Source organism: Homo sapiens, chromosome 6, assembly GCF_000001405.40.
Source record: "Homo sapiens chromosome 6, GRCh38.p14 Primary Assembly".
NCBI lineage: Eukaryota > Metazoa > Chordata > Mammalia > Primates > Hominidae > Homo > Homo sapiens.
Window position 1 is genome coordinate 135,661,854 of NC_000006.12, and position 19,942 is coordinate 135,681,795.

General features: G+C 36.7%; 1 long non-coding RNA gene across 4 annotated transcripts in view; it reads left to right on the forward strand.

Moving 5' to 3' along the window:
- AHI1-DT (AHI1 divergent transcript) overlaps positions 1-19,942 on the forward strand; it is a 218,255-nt gene that overhangs the window by 164,053 nt on the left and 34,260 nt on the right. For all 4 annotated transcript variants that reach the window (NR_152842.1, NR_152844.1, NR_152845.1 and 1 more), the window contains one exon: positions 10,441-10,576. This is a non-coding gene — a long non-coding RNA (AHI1 divergent transcript). The remainder of the gene's footprint in view (positions 1-10,440; positions 10,577-19,942) is intronic.

The window sequence follows — 19,942 nt, forward strand, 5'->3', positions numbered from 1 at the left end:
CCAGATGAGGACACAACAAAACAAGAAAACTACAGACCAATACCCCTGATGAATATACATGTAAAAATCCTCAACAACAGACTAGCAAACTGAATCAAACAGCACACAAAAATTTCAAACACCGTGATGTAGTAGGATTTATCCCAGGGATGCAAGGATGGTTCAACATACACAAATCAATAAACATGATCCATTACAATAATAGAATGAGGAACAAAAACCATATATCATCTCATTAGATGCCAAAAGAGCATTTAATAAAATTCAACATTTCTTCATGATAAAAACTCTCAATAAACTAGGTAATAGAAGGAAAATACCTCAATACAATCAAGGCCATATGTGACAAACCCATAGCTAACAACATACTGGACAGGGAACAACTGGAACAAGACAAGCCACTCTTACCACTCTTATTCAGTATAGCACTAGAAGTCCTAGCCAGAACAATTAGGCAAGAGACAGAATTTAAGGGCATCCAGATTGGAAAGGAAGAAGTCATATTGCCTGTGTTTGCAGATGCCATGATCTTATATATAGAAAATCCTAAAGGCTGTACCAAAAAACTCTTAGAATTGATAAACAAATTCAGTAAAGTTGCAGGGTACAAAATCAACATGTAAAAATCAGTAGTGTTTCACACATAAACTAGCTGACAAACAAATGAAGAGAGTAATTTCATTTCCAATTGCTACAAATACAAATTACCCAGGAACAAATTTAACCAAAGAGGTGAAAGATTTCACAAGGAAAACTATAAAACACAGATGAAAGAAATTAAAGAAGTGCACTCAAAAAAGGAAAGACATCCCAAATCATCCCAAATTCATAGACTGGAAAAATTAATATGTTAAAATGACCATACTATCCAAAGTGATCTATATATTTAATGCAATCCCTATCAAAATACCAATGATAGTCTTCAAAGAAATAGAAAAAAAATCTTAACATTTGTATGGAACCACAAAATACCCTGAATAGCCATAGCAATCCTAAGCAAAAATAACAAAGCTGAAGGCATCACATTACCAGACTTCAAAATATACTATAAAGCTATAGTAACCAAAGCAACATAGTACTGGCATTAAAAACAGACACATAGACCAATGAAACAGAACCCAGAACCCTGAAATTAATTGACATATACAAAGCCAACTGATTTTTGACAAAGGTGCAAAGAACATTCATTGGGAAAAAGACACTCTTTCAATAAATGGTGCTGGAAAAACTGGATATCCATATGCAGAAGAATAAAATCAGATCCCCGTCTCTCACTATATACAAAAACCAACTCAAAATGGGTTAAGAGCTAAATGTAAAACTTGAAACTATACAACTGCTAGAAGAAAACAGGGGAAATGCTTCAGGATGCTTGTCTGGGAAAATATTTTGTGAATAAGACCTTTAAAGCACAAGGGACAAAAGCAAAAGTAAACAAATGGAATTGTCTCAAACTAAAAACCTTCTGCACAGCAAAGTAAACAATCAACAGAGTGAAAGAGACAACCAACAGAATGGGAGAATATTTTTTCAAACTATTCATCTCACAGGAGATTGAAATTCAGAATATGCAAGAAACTCAAAGATCTCAATGGCAAACAAAAAACCTCCAATCAAAACATGGGCAAACTATCTGAATAGATAATTTTCAAAAGAAGATAGACAAATGACCAACACATACATGAAAAAGTATTCAACATCACTAATCATCAGGGAAACAAAACTAGAACTACGATGAGATATCATCTCATCCCAAGTAAGATGACTGTTATCAAAAAGACAAAAAATGACAAATGCCAGCCAGGATGTGGAGGAAAGGGATTTCTTACACACTGTTGGTGGGAATGTAAACTAGTACAGCCACTACGGAGAACAGTATGGAGGTTCTTCTAATAAATCAAAATAGGACTACTATATGATTCAGCAAGCCCACAACTGGGTACTTATTGAAAGGAAAGACAATTATTATATTGAAAAGACTTCTGCACCATCATGTTTATTGTAGCACTATTCACAATAGCCAAGATATAAAGTCAATCCAAGTGTCCAACAACAGATGAATAAATTAAGAAAATGTGGTATATACACAATGGAATACTATTCAGCCTTTAAAAAGAATAAAATCTTGTCATGCATGGCAACATGGCTGGAACTGAAGGACATCATATTAAGTGAAATAGGCCAGAAACAGAAAGTTAAACATCACATGATCTCATTTCTATATGGGAACAACAAAAAAAGTTCTTGGAAGTAAAAAGTAGAAGAGAGGTTACTAGAAGCTGGGAAGTGTAGGGGAAAAGGGGAGATGAGAAGAGATTTGTTAAAGTATACAAAATTACAGCTAGAAAGAAGGAATAAGTTTTAATGTTTGATAGCACTGTGGAATGACTATAATTAACCATAATATATATTTAGAAGTAGCTAGAAGAGAGAATATTAAATGTTTCCAACACAAAGAAGTGATAAATGTTTGAGATGATGGATATGCTAATTGCCCTGATCTGATCACTAAACATTGTATATATCAAAACATCAATATGTGCCCCACGAATATGTACAATTCTTATGTGTCAATTAAAAACATAAATTAATTAAAAAATTAAAAAAACTAGTTAGTGTTGAGAAGGATGTAGACCATATGTAATTTTCACACATTGATGGTGGAAATACAAAATGGAACAGTTATTTTGGAATACAGTTTAGCAGTTCTTTATAAAGTCAAACATATATTTACCATATGCCCCAGTCATCCATCTTCTAGGTATTCATCCAAGATAAATGAAAGCATATTTTTGTACAACAGTTTGTTCCAGAAGCTTCATTCTAGCCACAAACTGGAAACAACTCAAATGTCTTATAGAAGATAAATGGATAAACAAACTGTGGTAAATCCATACAATGGAATACTATTCAGTAACAAAAAAAGAACAAAATACTGATACACATAACAACATGGATAAATTTCATTTCTGTTAAGTGAAAGAAGCCAGACGTAAAAGATACGTACTGTATAATTCTTTTATGTGAAATTCTAGAAAGCGTGTAAGTATAGTGAGAGAAAGCAGGTCTGTGGATGCTCACAGCCAGGAAAGAAGGGGTTACCTATAAAGGGCACAAATGAACTTTGGGGGGTGATGGAAATATCCTATACCTTGGTCGTTGTGGTGATTGCACAGCTACATACATTGATCAAAACTCACCAGACGTATACCTAAAGTTGGTCAACTTTAGCCTATATAAATTGTACCTCAGTAAAGCTGATATTAAAAATCAATCACATGGCTATACAGCAGTGTGAATGTACTTGATGCCACTGAACTGTACAATTAAAATGAATAAAATGGTAAGTTTTATGTCATGTATATTTTATCTCAATTAAAATACATGGATAATATCCCTCCCTAAAAATGAGAGTGAAAAAGGCAAATAATGTCTTAGAATTGTTATGGGCCCTCTGAAGGTGTGTCAGGGGCCCCCAGGGTTCCCTGTACCACACTTTGAAAAGTGTTACTCTTTTGTAACTAAGAATGAATAATCATATACATCACACACACACACACACACACACACACACACACGTGCACACTCATACACACGTTTATACTGGTAAAAATTATCAACAATCTTCAATTTAGGAATGAAGTGTTTCAATTGTTTGCTTATAAGTATCCTGTTTGCTTGTTGAGCCCAATTGACTTGTACTAATAGTATTTCAGAACCCATCTGTTTAGGTATTTGTGATTCTGTGTATAAATATAGAGAGAGTCCAACCTGGGTGACAGGAACATGACTCCCTTCTTGCTGACTAGTAATGGTGCTGGAACCTCTATCCCCGCATCACTCCTTACCTGTTAGTGAAATTTGGGATTTCTTCAGCCCCAAGCTACTACTGGGGTTCCCCTGGCCAGGGTTGGAGGTAAGAACCTGATGAAAATAGGGACTTGGGATATGAGTAGGTAGGTGTGAAAAACTTTTCTTTTATGAAATGCAGGGATTAGTGCAACATTTTTTTCACCCTCTTGCTTCTGTGTTTTGGATCAAGTCCTGTCTTGTTCTCTCCTGTTTCCCCATATCCTCCTATATTTGTTAGACCTCTTACAATTCAAACTAGCTTACTTAAAGACAAGATAATTTGTTGGTTCACATTCCTTGAAAAGTCCAGGTATAAAAGGTAGAGGAGCTAACTTCAGACACGTTTAGATGTCATCAGGACGTTTTCTCTCTGTGTCTCTAAACTCTACTTCTCTGTGTTGGCATCATTTCTAGTTAAACTGGTCCTTTCCGTGTGGTGAAAAATAAGGCTAACTGAATGCATAGTCATCGTGGAAGGAAAGAAACCTGCTTTTTTACCAGTGATTAAATCAGTCCCAGATTAAATGATGCCAGCTGGCCAACCAGGGTCACAAGCCAGTTTCTTAGTGGAAAAAGGAAGTCCTTGACTGGAAACCCCTCCAGAATACATGGAAAGGTGTAGGAGAATTGGAGAAGGGATTCAGGGGAGACAGCAAGGGAAAAATTTGTCCTGCAATTCTTGTTTCTAAGTGAAATCAAGGACCTTTTGAAGTTTTCTGAATGTCTTTGCAATTTTTAAATTTTCATTGACAATTTGAATTAATTTGCTATAATAATTAATTGCTTTGAAGGAAACTGAGAAATAGATTCCAAACTGTAGATAAGATACAGACTTTTAGAAATGTCACTCTTCAACTAACCTAGTATTCTTCAACCCCAGCTAATCATGGCTGCATGCTCCTTAGCTTCATGATCAATGTATGTAGCTGTCTGTTTCTGTCTTGATCATTTCTGAAGCTGCTGTTTCCTTATGTTTTCTCAACACAGAGGCTACCATGCCTTTTTTATTGAGGGGGAAGCTGAGACTTAGTGAAGTCAAATAATTTGTCCAAGGTCTCCATTAGTAAGTGACATTATAGAACTGAATCCTTTTCACCCCAAGCTAATTTTCTTTCCACCATAGGCTCTACCTTCCAATTAAACCTCTTGCTAGCCAAATATGTTCTAAATTTGTTTATTCATTTTCCAAATATTTATTGACAGGCACTCTTCTGGACACTGAGGGAGGATACACAATGAAGAAAATAGACAAGTTCTTGTTCTCATGGTGTGAATACCCTAGCGGAAGGGCAGAAAATAAGCAAATAAATATATATGATGTCACATGGCAACACTACTGGCAAGAAGAGGATTGGAAAAGTGTGCTTTTTAATTAGGATGATTAAAGATGACGTCTTTGAGGTTACGGTTGACCAGAGCCCTCATTGAAGCCAGGAAGCATGGCAGGGAGATAGTGAAGGAAGGGCATCCCAGACAGGAGAACTGGAGGACAAAGGCTCTGGGTGTGAAAGTCTTTGGCATATTTACAGGGAATAGGATAGAGGTGGGGGGACCTGGAACTGTTAAGGGGTTGGGGTGGAAGCAGCAGGAGATTAAATCAGAGAGGTAGCCAGAGGAGGTTTTATCCAGAGAGACCAGAGAGATGGCAAATATTCAACTGTGTGTTCTCATTCTCTGGAAGAAGAAAACACTTTATCATTTTACAGTGCTTACCTTGAGAATATGAAAAAAGAGAATCTTTTATCATTTCAGTCATCTATAAGTGAGTATTCAAATTTATATGTTCAATCATTTAGTAGTTCATTCTTACAGTCAACATTTACTAGGCACCCACTGTACCCTAGATACTCCGCCAGATGTTAGAGCTATGAAAAAGGAAAAGAGATACCATTTTCTATCCTCCAGAACCAGATGTGAGTATGTTGTATACAACTGGAGGATGATCAGGTTGACAAGAGCATCTTGTATTACTGTCCACACATTTTTTACCCCCCAAAATGTGTGGTTTCCACAAGAACTAGCTGGAAGCCTGCCATTTACTGACACATTGCTACAAATTTTTAAATTAAATGTTTTACTAGAAATGGATTCAATGTGGTAACGGATCTGTCTGACTACGTTTCAGAAGGGTTTAAAAGCATTTAATTTCCATGTCACATCCATTAAAAGTTAATGATGTCATGCACTCCAGGGAGCAATCCATTTCATAATTTAAAGTGGAACCAACAAAACACGACTCAAAAGGGAAATGAAGGTGACAAGGTACAGAATAACATGAACCAGTGTAGCTGCACCTGTCATGACCCTTCCCGGGGTTAACCTGGCAGAGAACAGAGAGTTTAAGGGAAATGAATCAGAGAACCAAGCCACATTCCATCTTCCTCAGAGAGAAAAGAGCATAAATCAGGAAGAAATAAAGTTTATGTGATATGCAGCACACATTTTTAGCGTTGGTTTCCTTCACACTGAAATGAGGAAAACAGAGCATAAGGAAAGCCACGTGAGGGGACTGCATAATGAGCTGTGGGATTCCAGAGGATGTAGATCTCCACGAACCCTCTGACTCCACACTTGAACTGTGAGGCCAACTGGCACCCTCCCTCCGTCTCCACACTGCCTGAGGCTCTTTCCTGTGCCTGCGCTTCTGAACAACAGAGGAAACCCAGGGATACGCTCTTCCCAATACTCACTCCCCTGCCCTTCCAGCTCCTTCCACCTTGTTTACATTTGTACTCGCGTATTTCATGTGGGTTGTGAAAGCTGGTAACGTTATGGCTACAGAGTGCTCTATTATATTTTCAAGGGCGGAAAAAGGCTGTATGTGAAGCTGCCAAATCAAATCCTTGCCAAAATGGTCCAAGCTAATGAGAAGGTTTGTAAATTACAGTTCAATGGATGAGACGTGGAGGACAAGGAATATCATGCCCACCCAGCAAATAGAATCACTGAGCATCACTAGCTTTTTTACTGGTATATATATATATATATATTATATATATAATATATATTATATATATAATATATATATCTTTTTTGCACTATATATATTTTGCACTATATATATACTGCAAAATACATATATACATATTTTGCACTATATATAGTGCAAAAAATATATATACATATTTTGCACTATATATATAGTGCAAAAAATATATATACATATTTTTGCATGATCTTAGTCAAAGTATTCAAAAATTTAAGCATTTATAGAGTAAAGTTTCATCAATTCCTATACATTTAAGCTGGAACTAGATCGGGTGTTACTTAAACTGACAACTAATGCAATGTTTTATATAATACAGATGATCAATAAATTTCTGCTTAATGAAAGAATAGGTGTCTACAAAAATAAATAGACACATTTAGATTGCAGAACCAATAATTAAGGGCAACTTTACCATTTGAGTCTACTTCCTGCCCCACTTCCTCCCCACAGTAAAGTTTAGAATTTTCCACATATTCTGATATGATTTAATTTTAACTAGTCCTATCACTTATCAGCTCATTTCTAGACTGATTAATGGACATCGACCAATTTTAATTTATAAATTGGTCTTTTCCCTGTTTCTTTAGATTTTGGAAGTTTTGTGTGCATTTGCTTTGGAGCCAAACACGAGAAGAAATTTTAAAAATCACAGCTCTTTGAGTCTTTAAACATTTTTCAAGTTATAAAGTCATTTAGTTTCAGAGACTTTTCCATTTTCTAGCTGAAAGCAATCAACTTTAAGAATCCCTATATAAGAATTCCTAGAAGTGCCTGGTCAGAAAATTAAAGCAGAGGAAGAATTGATTTCTTTGTTATAGTTTCCATAATCATTTAATCAGAAACAATACAAAAAATTAATCCATTTCTTAAAATGTTTACATGACACTTTCTATGCATATTCATTAAAAAGTATAAAATATTTTTGTAATGGATCAAAATTTAACAAAATTTAATTTATTTTATTAAACTAAGTTTTTTCTTTAATAAAAACAATCATGATAATTAAGAAAATAGAAAGCATTCAAGTTAAAATAAAGCCAGTAATATTCCACACTATCAAGCTTAAAACATCATTATGAAAATTTTGAAGACGTTAATTTTAGATGTAGGGAATGGTAATTGCTTGGGCTTTGCCTGCACATCAGTAGCAATGATAGTCAGATACAAATTTAGACTTTAACTTAATTCCTCTTTTCCTGCAGGTCCTTTCTCCTGTATAATTATACTCAATCATTAAAAAGAAATGAACTCAATATCTTAATATACATGGAATTACTCTGTTGTATCTACAAGAAGCACATTTCCTATTTTCAATAAGTTGAGTTGAAAAGAAAAGAATGCAACTTTTTGAATTATTTTGTAAAATGCAGTTAGTAAAAGCTTTAGTGTTGCTTTTTGTCTTTAATTTGTTTTGTTAGTTGTTTCTTTCTGTGGTATTCACTATGATGCATTTTGTGTTGCTGGAAGCTAGTGGTAACAATGCAATAGACAAAAATACAGGGGAGTAAAGAATGAAGGGAACAGAAGAAAAAAAGGAACTATGAGACTTTTCATGTGACATGTTCTAGAGCTCAGTACAGAGTACTGTGGAGTTTGGTTTTAGGTGGAGTTACCTCTGCCTATTGGAGTCAGGAATGGCATCCACATAAAAAAAATGTATCTGAAAAATGTCCAAAGCAATCTACAGATTCAGTGAAATACCTATCAAAATCCCAATTTTCTGTTTTTACAGAAAAAGAAAAAAACAATTTCAAAACTCATATGGGACCACTGATGACCACCAATAGCTAAAGCAATCCCAAGAAAGAAGGACAAAGTTGGAGGCCTCACACTTCTTGATTTCAAATTACATTACAACGCTGCAGTAATTAAGAGTATATACTATCATAAAGATGGACATACTGCCCAGTGGAACAGAATGGAGAACCCAGAAATAAATTCACACATATATGGTCAACTGATCTTTGACAAGGGTGCCAAGAATACACAACGGAGAAAGGCTTTTCTCTTCAACAAATGGTACTGGGAAACACACAAAAGAATGAAATTGTACCTTTCTATTATATACAAAATCAAATCAAATATATTAGAAACTTAAACCTAAGACCCAAAACTGTAAAACTCCAAGAAAAACATAGGGAAAAACTTTATGACTTTGTCTTGGCAATGACTTCATGGATATAACACGAAAAACACTATCAACAAAAACAAAAACAACATGAGACTACATCAAACTAAAAAGCTCCTGTGCAGCAAAGGAAACAATCAACGGAGTGAAAAGGCAATTGATGAAATGAAAGAAATATCCATGAACCATCTATCTGATAAAGGACTAATCTCCAAAATATATAAGGAACTTCTATAATTCAATAGCAAAAAAACCACATGACCTGATTTAAAAATGAGCTAAGGTTTTGAATAGACATTTCTCCAAAGAAGATACAAATGGCCAACAAATATAAGAAAAAATGCTCAATGTTACAAATCATTTGGAAAATGCAAATAAAAACCACCATGAGATTTTACTTCACACCTGTCCAGATGGATATCATCAAAAAAAAAAAAAGGACAAAATGTACTGATGAGGATGTGGAGAAATAGGAACGCTGGCACACTGTTGGTGGAAATGCAAAATAGTGAAGCTGCTACAGAAAATACTATGAAGATTCCTCAAAAAATTAAAAATAGAACTTCCATATATATGATTCAGCTATTCCACTTCTGGATATTTATCAAAAGAGTTGAAACCAGGATCTTAAAGAGATATCAGCAGCACTATTCGCAATAGTCAAGATGCAGAAATAACCTAAATGTCCATTGACAGATGAATAGATACAGAATATGCGATATATACATTGAAATATTATCAGCCTTAAAAAGGAAGGACATTCTATAATATGCAATGACATGATGAACCTGGAGGACATCAAGCTAAGTGAAATAAGCCAGTCACAGAAAGACCAATACTGCATTATTCCACTTATATGAAGTATCCAAAATAGTCAGATTCATAGAATCAAAGAATGAAATGGTGTTTGCCAGGGAATAGCAGGAGGGGGGAATAGAGAGTTATGAATCAACAGGCATAAGGCTCCAGTCAAGCAAGATGAATGAGCTCTAGAGATTTGCTGTACAACATTGTACCTAGAGTCAACAATACTGTATTGTCTGTTTAAAATTTGTTAAGCAGTAAGTCTCATGTTAAGTGTTTTTACCACAATAAAATAAAATAGTAAAATAAAATGTACCTGAGATGAGACTTGCAGTCCTGTGTGAGGGACAGGAGTTTGCCCACAGAGGAGAGTGAAGATGGAGAGAATGTTACAGACAGGCCACAGCCTGCTTTGGGACCTAGAAGTGAGTAAACAGGCTCCCTACAGGATGTGCAGACAGCTGGGCCTGGGGAGAGAGTGCCGGGGATGCTCTGAGGGCCACTGGGAGGTGAGGCTGTAAGGCAAGTTGTGGCAGACCATCACAAGCCCTTCATAGACCTGCAAGAGACTTCCAGGTTTATGGTTTGCCTAACATGAGGGGCTACTGAAGAGTTTTGTGCAAGACATGTGATGAAGTATTTGTGACATGATAAAATGTCGTTTCAGCCATCTTAAAACCACTCAAAGTTGACGGTCTCCTCTCCTGCCTCCTGCGGCTTCCATTACCATGGCAGAGACTGTGGTGTCTGAGGTGGTGTAGCGTACTGAAGCAAGGCTGTCTTGAAGAAGAGGAGACAACTCAGTAAGTATGTTAGTCAGCATAAGCTAGGTTATGATGCAGTAACAAACAATGCTTACATTTCAGTGGCTTAGCACAACAGGAGGGTATCTCTCACTCTTTCTGGATGCCCTACAGAAGACAGCGGGAGGTGGGGTGGGTCTGTTCCACAGTGTCACTCATGGACCAGACTCTGCCATCTTTTGACTGCACTATCTCCAACACACGACCTTTTTAGTCACCACATCAGGGGAGAGACAACTGCAAGGGTTTGCAGTGGCTCCTTTATGCTTCACAATGGAAGTAACACATGCCATTTCTTTTTGTAGTCACAGCCAATTCCGTAGCTTTGCCTAACCACAGGAGGCTGGAAGACGGGGTGGGGGGGAAGCAGATGGGTGCTTGCTGAGCACTGCAGTCTCTGCCATGGTAATTTCAGGTAGCTAGATGGAAGCCACAGGAGGCAGGAGAGGAGACCATCAGCTTTGAGTGGTTTTAAGATGGCAGAAACATCAGGCCACAGAGACTGAGGCAATTTGGTGGGGGTGAGAGAGGAGTGGCATAGGGTGATTGCTGGGTACTCACTGGTGGCAGCATACTCAGTGAGCAAAACTGGCAGAGAGTAGGTGTAGGGTAGAGATAAGGCTCATCTTGACCAGCACTGCTATCTGCGAAGCCTAATTAAACATGTCCACGGCCGGTCGCGGTGGCTTCATGCCTGTAATCCCAGCACTTTAGGAGGCCAAGGCAGGCGGATCATGAGGTCAGGAGATCTAGACTATCCTGGCTAACACAGTAAAACCCCGTCTGTATTAAAATTAAAAAATTAGCCAGGCGTGGTGGCATATGCATGTAGTCCCAGCTACTTGGGAGGCTGAGGCAGGAGAATCACTTGAACCCAGGAGGCGGAGGTTGCAGTGAGCTGAGATCATGCCGCTGCACTCCAGCCTGGGCGACAGAGCGAGGCTCTGTCTCGAAAACAAAACAAACCAAAACAAAACCACAACAACAGCAACAACAAAAACCCCAAAAACATGTCCACTAGGAACTGCAAGTCAGGAGTGCAAAATAGAGTCAGGCCTAGCTATTGATATTTGGACATCATCACCCAGTTATAGGCAGAGGTTGAAAACATGTAGGTGAATGAGTCTCCCAAAGGAGAGAATGTATAATAAGATTAGGTGAGAGTTTAAAAAGTTGAATTGCTCGTGCAGTCTGGATCCAGAGTCATCGCACCCAGATGGATTCAAGAAATGGAGGGTCAGAAGGTCAGCTTCCACAAGTCTATAATTAACTGGGTTTTGATGTATGCTTGCAGAGGCTAGAGACACACTGAGAGATTTATCGAGTGCAATATTTGTTTGACATCCAAAGAAATAAGACAAGCCTTCTTATGAACTCTTGGCAGAGATTTACTTTAGATAGCGAAGAACAGCTTGACACTACAGATTATTAGACACCACAAGAGTTTATTAAATAAAATGGGTGGAAGCATTGATTCTACATCTTAAATATATCTCTTTGGTCCAGGGGTTGTCAAACTGTGTTTCTTAGGGGGGTCTCAGGGGCTGCTGCAGGATGCCAGGAGCTGGTGCAGAGCAGAGTGACTCACGTCTTCCACCTCTCCCTCCATCAGCTCTGCGGTTACTGGTTTTATATTGTAATGTTTCACATAAGATTTCATTGGAGAAAAAATTCTGCACCACAAAAACAAAAAGTTTCCTTTCCATCTCCAATGTTAAAAAGCCTTAGGCTGAGGCTTTCATCATTTCCTGCTTGGATCGTTGTATTTTTCTTCCCTGGGGGTCTGTCTCGCTGCCTCTGATCTCGTCCCTTTGTCATCCACCCTCCGCATGGTTCCCAAAGTGATCATTCTCGAACACAAATCCAAATCTGATGTTGGCTTCTGGGGCATTTTTGACTTCCTATCACCAATTGTAGAAAGTTATACTCTAAAGAATGGCCCCAAGAAAGCATTTCATGATTTGGCCTTCCCTTACCTTTCTCCAGCCCCCTTTTCAGGATGTCCCCTTTTGTTCCTTGTGCCTCAGCCATAAACAACAACTCATGCCTGCAGTGCGCTGAAGGTATAGAAGGCCTTTGGTTTAGTGAATCCAACTTCTCAGCTGCAGCTTCAGCATAATGACATCTTAGAAGACTCCCCAGCTTCCAGTAGTTTAGTTAGAAGTCCTCCTCTGGGGCTCCTGTCATGAAGAATGTGTACCCCTCTGACAGCACATTGCCCGCAGTCTTGTGTTAATTGATATTTAGTTTATCTCCCTACTGGATAATCAGCAATTGCCTTCAGGAAACGGACTGGCTCATCAGCTCTATCTCCTCAGACTTTGGCTCTGCACTTGACCCTCTACCATGTTGTTAAACAAGAAATGAGTGTCCTCCTTTCTGGAAATCATTAAAATAATGGTTTTTTATCTGCTTTATTCATTTGAAAAGCTTTGGTCTATGAATATAGACTATACGGCTCCTTAAGATTTTTGTCTATATTATTTTTGATTTTTTTGTTTTTTAACACCTTTAGAATTTCACAGCCTTTATAAATATAATACTTAAAAGTAACATTTCAGAGTATTTGGAAATACTTTTTGACTATTTAAAACAAAATATGAAACATGAAGTATAGTAAAGATATAAAACGATAATTTAGATAAAAATTCTTTCTTTCATGGAAAACACCACTGCATTATTCCTGTTTCAAATGTCCTACAGCATTACATTTTTTTTTTTTTGCAGCAACTCCACTACACATTTGTTCATGGTGTTCACTTCCTACAAGATACAGTCAAAACTCCTTAGCCTGATTTCCAGAGCCTCTGTAATCTGACCCAACTGACTTTCTCAACCACATTACACACTAATCTTTCACAGATTTTTTTTTGCTTTATTTAAACCTTTTCCCCTCATATTTCTATTTATTCTTCTTAGCCTTTGGTGAATGCTTTCTATCAGAGGATTTGTACCTTCGGATTTTTGGAAAAGTCTGTACCATTATATCTTAGCATATTGCTTATTTGCTGTTTGTTTATTTATGTCTTTGGAATTTCTCTGAGGCAGATACTAGAGCATTTATGATTCCTAACTTCTGTTTTATATCCTCCATTCCTTTATTTTTGTCCTCCATGTCACAGAGATGTTCTGTTCCATCTTCTAACTCATCTTCAAGCATGATTTGTCTTGTATAATCCATTTGCTTAGATTTCTAAAGAGATTTAATGACTGTACTTACACTTGACTTTTAAGAGCCTGTTTCATAACTTGCTGTTTTTATTTTACAGATGCCATTTCTTCCTTTATATTTTAAATACTGTAAACATACTTATTGTCAGCTCTCTTTCATGTTGTTCTATTCTTGTTGGTTCCTCATGTCCTGTAAGCTGTCTTTCATGATGCTAAGTGTCCTATTTTTTAAAATTCTGTTTTATTTTGCTTACGAGTTTACTTCAGAAGGAAGTATCTTTTCTAGAGATCCGGATAACCACCTGGGGTGGTTTCCACTGGTGTTCCTGTCAGCACCTTCAAGACACACTGATTCTGAATTATTTTTTGTGTTAGTTTTTCAGCCTGGAATTCTGAGTCTATTCCTACTCCCACCTGTTGTTCAGTCTTGGGGTTCTTATATCTCTAGAAGACTCCTATTTTACCCACATGGTGGGGCTATTGGCTCATTTCCAGCAGTTATCTTGGGTATGCAGGCAGAGATGATCTGGTTCCTTCAAGGTTAGTGCAGTGCTTTCTAGGGTTCTGATTCTGCACAGGAAGCCCAGTTCTTATTCCTTCTATAAACATATTTTCCTGGCCAGCTTCTGGCCTTGAATAGCCATGAAAATCCCAGACTTTGAGACCTGTAATCTCCCTTAGTTCCAGATACATTGTCATGTTGGCTCTATGTTCTAGCATTTGGAGATTTCCTTTCTTGCTTTTGTGTTCTGCTATATATTTAATATGTAAAAAAATGCTTTTAATCCCTATATCTAAATGTCTGGAAATGTTGTGTTCAATTCCATCTTATCCTGTTATTTCTTGACTGTCTGAATATGTAGTTCTTATTTCTCTCGTTCTCTCCATTTTGAATAATCTCCCAAATGCTCTCTGCCTTTTGCAAATTCACTCATTCTTCCAGGACTTGAGGAGTCACTGAAGGTAATGCTTTTTTCCTCCAGGGACCAAATTAACCCCTAGGAAGGGTCTTCTATGAACTCCTTTGACATCCATTTGACACTTAATCATTTTCTGTTATAATTATTATATGGCTATTATTTGTTTTCTTGTGAAATTATAAAATCTTTGAAATTTGGGGCCATTTCTTAAGCTTCTTGAATTTCTTCACCTGGTCTCACAACAAATTCTTCCTAATGGAAGAAAAACAGAAAAGAAAGACACACTAGGATAGAGTAATTTAAAATGTTTTAGACTTTATTTACGAGGGTCCAAGCACCTAGGAAAACAGGATTTGTTTAAATTTTGCTTACTCATTTTATTCAGGATTCATGAATTTATAAGGCCAGAGAGATTTCATATAAGATCCTAGATTACTAAAGGAAAACTGAAAGATTTTATGTCAAGCAATATAAAATTAATATGACAGATGCAACCTTAGAAAATGTGTTTCCTGAGATTCCTAAATTAGCTACTTTTGTGGGTGTCTGCTTAGTATTTGGTCCTGAGTAAATGAATAAACAAACAGCTACTTCTGAGAGCTACTTTCACAGGGAAATGTTTCTGAGTTCCAGTTCATGGGAGTTTAGGAAGGTATGGGATGCAAATTACATTTCAACACTGAACCAGCCAATCAATCCTTGAACACTTTTGAAGTCTTTAGCTTTGCCTGTGAACATGGGAACACCCAAGGGCACCTTCAAATTAAAAATAAACATACATTCTAAGGAGTCCTAGATGTGTAATTTGGTAGAAATTTAAGGGGTGTCTTTTTATAGTAACGGAGTCTATAAAGAAAATACAATTCAGGTGAGGTTACATCCTTTCCAGTCATAAAAGTGTATGTGAATGACATTTAACTCGAAATTCAAGTACTTTGGGCATATCATTCCCGCTCCCTGCCCCAATCCCATAATTTCTTGGTAGAAACTCATAGTGCATTTTTTTTTCAGTTCCAGCCAGATTTTTATATCTATTGGATGGATATTACATTAATAAAAAAATAGCTAACACTTATTGTATGATTGTCTAATGCCAAGCTATGTTCGTATAATTATCTAATATGTTGGTATGATTTGACTCTGTGGCTCCACCCAAATCTCACCTTTAATTGTAATCCCTTATGTTATGGGAGGAACCTGGTGGGAGGTGATTGGATTATGGGAGCGGTTTCCCCATGCTGTTCTTGTGATAGTCAGGGAGTTCTTACCAGATCTGATGGTTTTAGAAGTGGCAATTTCCCCTATGCACTCTCTCTCTCTCCTGCCACCATGTAAGACATGCCTTGCTTCTCCCTCCCCTTCTGCCATGATTGTAAGTTTCCTGAGGCCTCCCCAGCCATGTTGAACTGTGAGTCAATTAAACCTCTTTCCTTCATGAATTACCCAGTCTCAGGTATTCTTTATAACTGTGAAAATGGGCTAATACCCAGATAACCCTATGGTGTTGCTGCTGTTATTATTCTTCCCTTGCAGATGGGGAAAACTGAGATGAAGAGTTAATTAATTTACCAAAGTCAAAAGAGTAGTCTTAAACTACTGTGAAATTTCTGTAGGCCTCCTTTTTTTTCCTTCAAAACCTTTAATATGCTAATACACATTTTTGTATTTTTTTTTTAATTATACTTTAAGTTCTGGGATACATGTGCAGAACATGCAGGTTTGTTACATAGGCATACACGTGTGATTGTGGTTTGCTGCACCCATCAACCTGTCATCTACATAAGATATTTCTCTTAATGCTATCCTTCCCTTAGCCCCACACCCCACTGACAGGCCCCGGTGTGTGATGTTCCACTCCCAGTGTCCATGTGTTCTCATTGTTCAACTCCCAGTTATGAGTGAGAATATGCAATGTTTGGTTTTCTGTTCCTGTGTTAGTTTGCTGAGAATGATGGTTTCCAGCTTCATCCATGTCCCTGCAAAGGACATGAACTCATTCTTTTTTATGGCTGCATAGTATTCCATGATGTATATGTGCCACATTTTCTTTATCCAATCTATTGTTGATGGGCATTTGGGTTGGTTCCAAGTCTTTGCTATTGTTAACAGTGCCACAGTAAACATACGTGTGCATGTGTCTTTATAGCAGAATGATTTATAATCCTTTGGGTATATACCCAGTGATGGGATTGCTGGGTCAAATGGTATTTCTAGTTCTAGATCCTTGAGGAATTGCCACACTGTCTTCCACAATGGTTGAACTAATTTACACTCCCACCAACAGTGTAAAAGCATTCCTATTTCTCCGCATCCTCTCCAGCATCTTTTGTTTCCTGACTTTTTAATGATCGCCATTCTAACGGGCATGAGATGGTATCTCATTGTGGTTTTTATTTGCATTTCTCTAATGACCAGTGATGATGAGCTTTTTGTCATATGTTTGTTGGCTGCATAAATGTCTTCTTTTGAGAAGTGTCTGTTCATATCCTTTGCCCACTTTTTGATGAAGTTGTTTTTTTCCTTGTAACATTTTTTAAGTTATTTGTAGATTCTGGATATTAGCCCTTTGTCAGATGGATAGATTGCAAAAATTTTCTCCCATTCTGTAGGTTGCCTGTTCACTCTGGTGATAGTTTCTTTTGCTGTGCAGAAGCTCTTTAGTTTAATTAGATACCATTTGTCAATTTTGGCTTTTGTTGTCTTTAGGCCTCCTTTCTATTCATGTTTCTACTTTAGAAGACATATATATATATCTACATATATATATATTTTATATATCTATATATGCCTTCTAAATATATATGTCTACAAATATGTATGTCTTCTATATTTTATATATCTATATATGCCTTCTAAATATATATGTCTACAAATATGTATGTCTTCTAAAGTAGAAACATGAATATATGTATCTAGAAACATATATGTCTTCAGAAGACAAATATATATGTATATGTCTTCTAAAGTGTGTGTATGTGTGTATGTTTATATATGCGTGTATATATATATGTGTATATGTATTTGTCCAGAGTTCTCCTGGGGAATCTATATTTTATTGAGATGAGAAGGAAACGTGGTAGTGTTGGTTAACTTATCACCACCTGGTTGCTGTCTAAACTCAACCACTTCCTATTGTGTCATGGTTTGATTATAAATTTCCTCTAAGCCTCTTTTTCTGGACACTCGCTTATCACCGCTAATCCTACATACAAAAGGTTGAATACTGGCCACTCTGAAAGTTGACAATCTAATATGGATTAAATGTAAAAATAAAGCTAGTGACTCCAAAACCCACCACTAGCTGGTTCATCACAGTTGTATATTTTTACACTTTCTCAGTCCACCCTCTAACCCAACTCATCTTCTTGTAAGCCTAGCACCTATTGTTGGCTATCTAGTGGCACACTGCAAAGGATCTTATGTGCCTGGAGCCCCGGTTTGCAATTTTTTTTTTTTTTTTTTTTTTTTTTTTTTAGAGATAGTGTTGTATACTTAAATCTTGACAAGCAAAAGAAAAAGAATGAAGTTTGGAAACCATCACTTCTAAAAAGCTTGTATTTTATTATTTAGAACAGACTTGCTTAAGGGAAAGATAAAATCAATACTTTTTCCCCCTGTTTTCAATAAGTGCCTAGATATTAGATTTTATGTTTGTTTGTTTTAAACAACGTTTTAAACTTGAGAGAATTTTGGGTAAGAAAATAAATAAATAAGTTGGATAGAAATAAACCTTTTAAAATTAAATTCTCTTCACTAAAGAATGTATTACTGGGAAAGGTTTTAAAAACTTCACTAGAGGTCCCTCCAATTTTTTTCACCTGTTTCCTCAAGATGGGGTAGTCGAGGACAAATTGATTACTGTTTTAAGCTTCCTTCCAAATTTCCATTGCTGTTATTTATGGTTCTATTCCAAATGTAAAATTTAGGCCTTTCCAATATTTGTTTTTAAAATGAAGAGACTTTCTGATTCCTATGAATAAAAATACTCCATGCTAATGGAAAAATCAAGAATCTTGGTGCCAAAGTGCTTCATTCAAACTCTTAGACAATAAAATAAGCAAGACATTAAATTATAACAAAGGTTCCAACCTTTTACTAAACTAGACTCACCTTGAGGAGCTTATAAAAGTACAGATTTCTAAGTTTTCCCAATCTACTCTTTCTTCCCATCCCAAGATTCTGAAATTAATTGGTTTGGCTGAGCTTGATCCAACACATTTTACTAAATATATATGTTTATTATATATAGTCTATATTATAAAATAAATATAATTATAACAGAATAAATATAATAAATATAGTATAAAGTATATTTATTATATAATTATTTAAGGCTGAAGATCAGTGTCCACAAAGGCATTTCTTGCTCTTTGCTAATGCCAGACAAATTAATGCAAAAGAAATGGTTGGATAAGAAGAAAGGAAAATGAGAAATAATATTCCTATTTATAATTTCTATCTATTTTCACAAAAATCACAAGTAGCTAAAGGTAGTCATTTTGCCTCAAATTGCCAATCAGGTTTAAGAAGTTTTTTGTCTGAATTTCCTAATTCTAAGTGAGAGACTGAAAATGCAAATGAACTATGACCAGACCACCTATGACAACAGAACCCTGACCCACAATCTCTGTGGCCACCAGCCCAGGAAGCAAAACCCCACTTCTGTGGCCTTCAGCCCAGAGTGGTCAGGGCTTGGTCAATGACTGCCAGCTTTCCTTTTTTTTCTTTTTTTTTTTTTTTGGCTTCTGCTTCCAACTCAGGACCAAGGAGAGAAAGCCAAATATGTTACCCTTCTCTAAACAATCACTTAGGATGCCCCACTTCTAGTTAGTGCACTTCCAGCTTCCCTGAAGCCTTCCTTTTTTTTTTTACTGTAAAACGTTCCCATTCCCATCTGTCTTTGAGTCTTTGTCAAATACAGGTGATGGTGGCTGACTCACTTGCTATGGCAAGCTCTGAATCAATAGCTTCTGTTTGTTCTCATTTTGGTGGTGTTTATTTAGTTCCACATAGCTAAAAATGGGGAAAATAAAAATGGGAAAAAATAAATTATCCTTGTGCATACATGTAAGGTTATTTATACCAATTTATGCAATTTCAGAAAATGAGAGGAGAAAGCAGATACCATCACCAAGGCAAGTGTTCAAAAGGGCAATAATTACAGTGACAAGAGGAATCCCAATAACTTTTATTCTCAGTAAATATGGCTACACAGTCAAGAGTGTTGAGGACCTGAGAATGGGAAGTCACTGCTTTGGCTCCTGTGATTCCACCA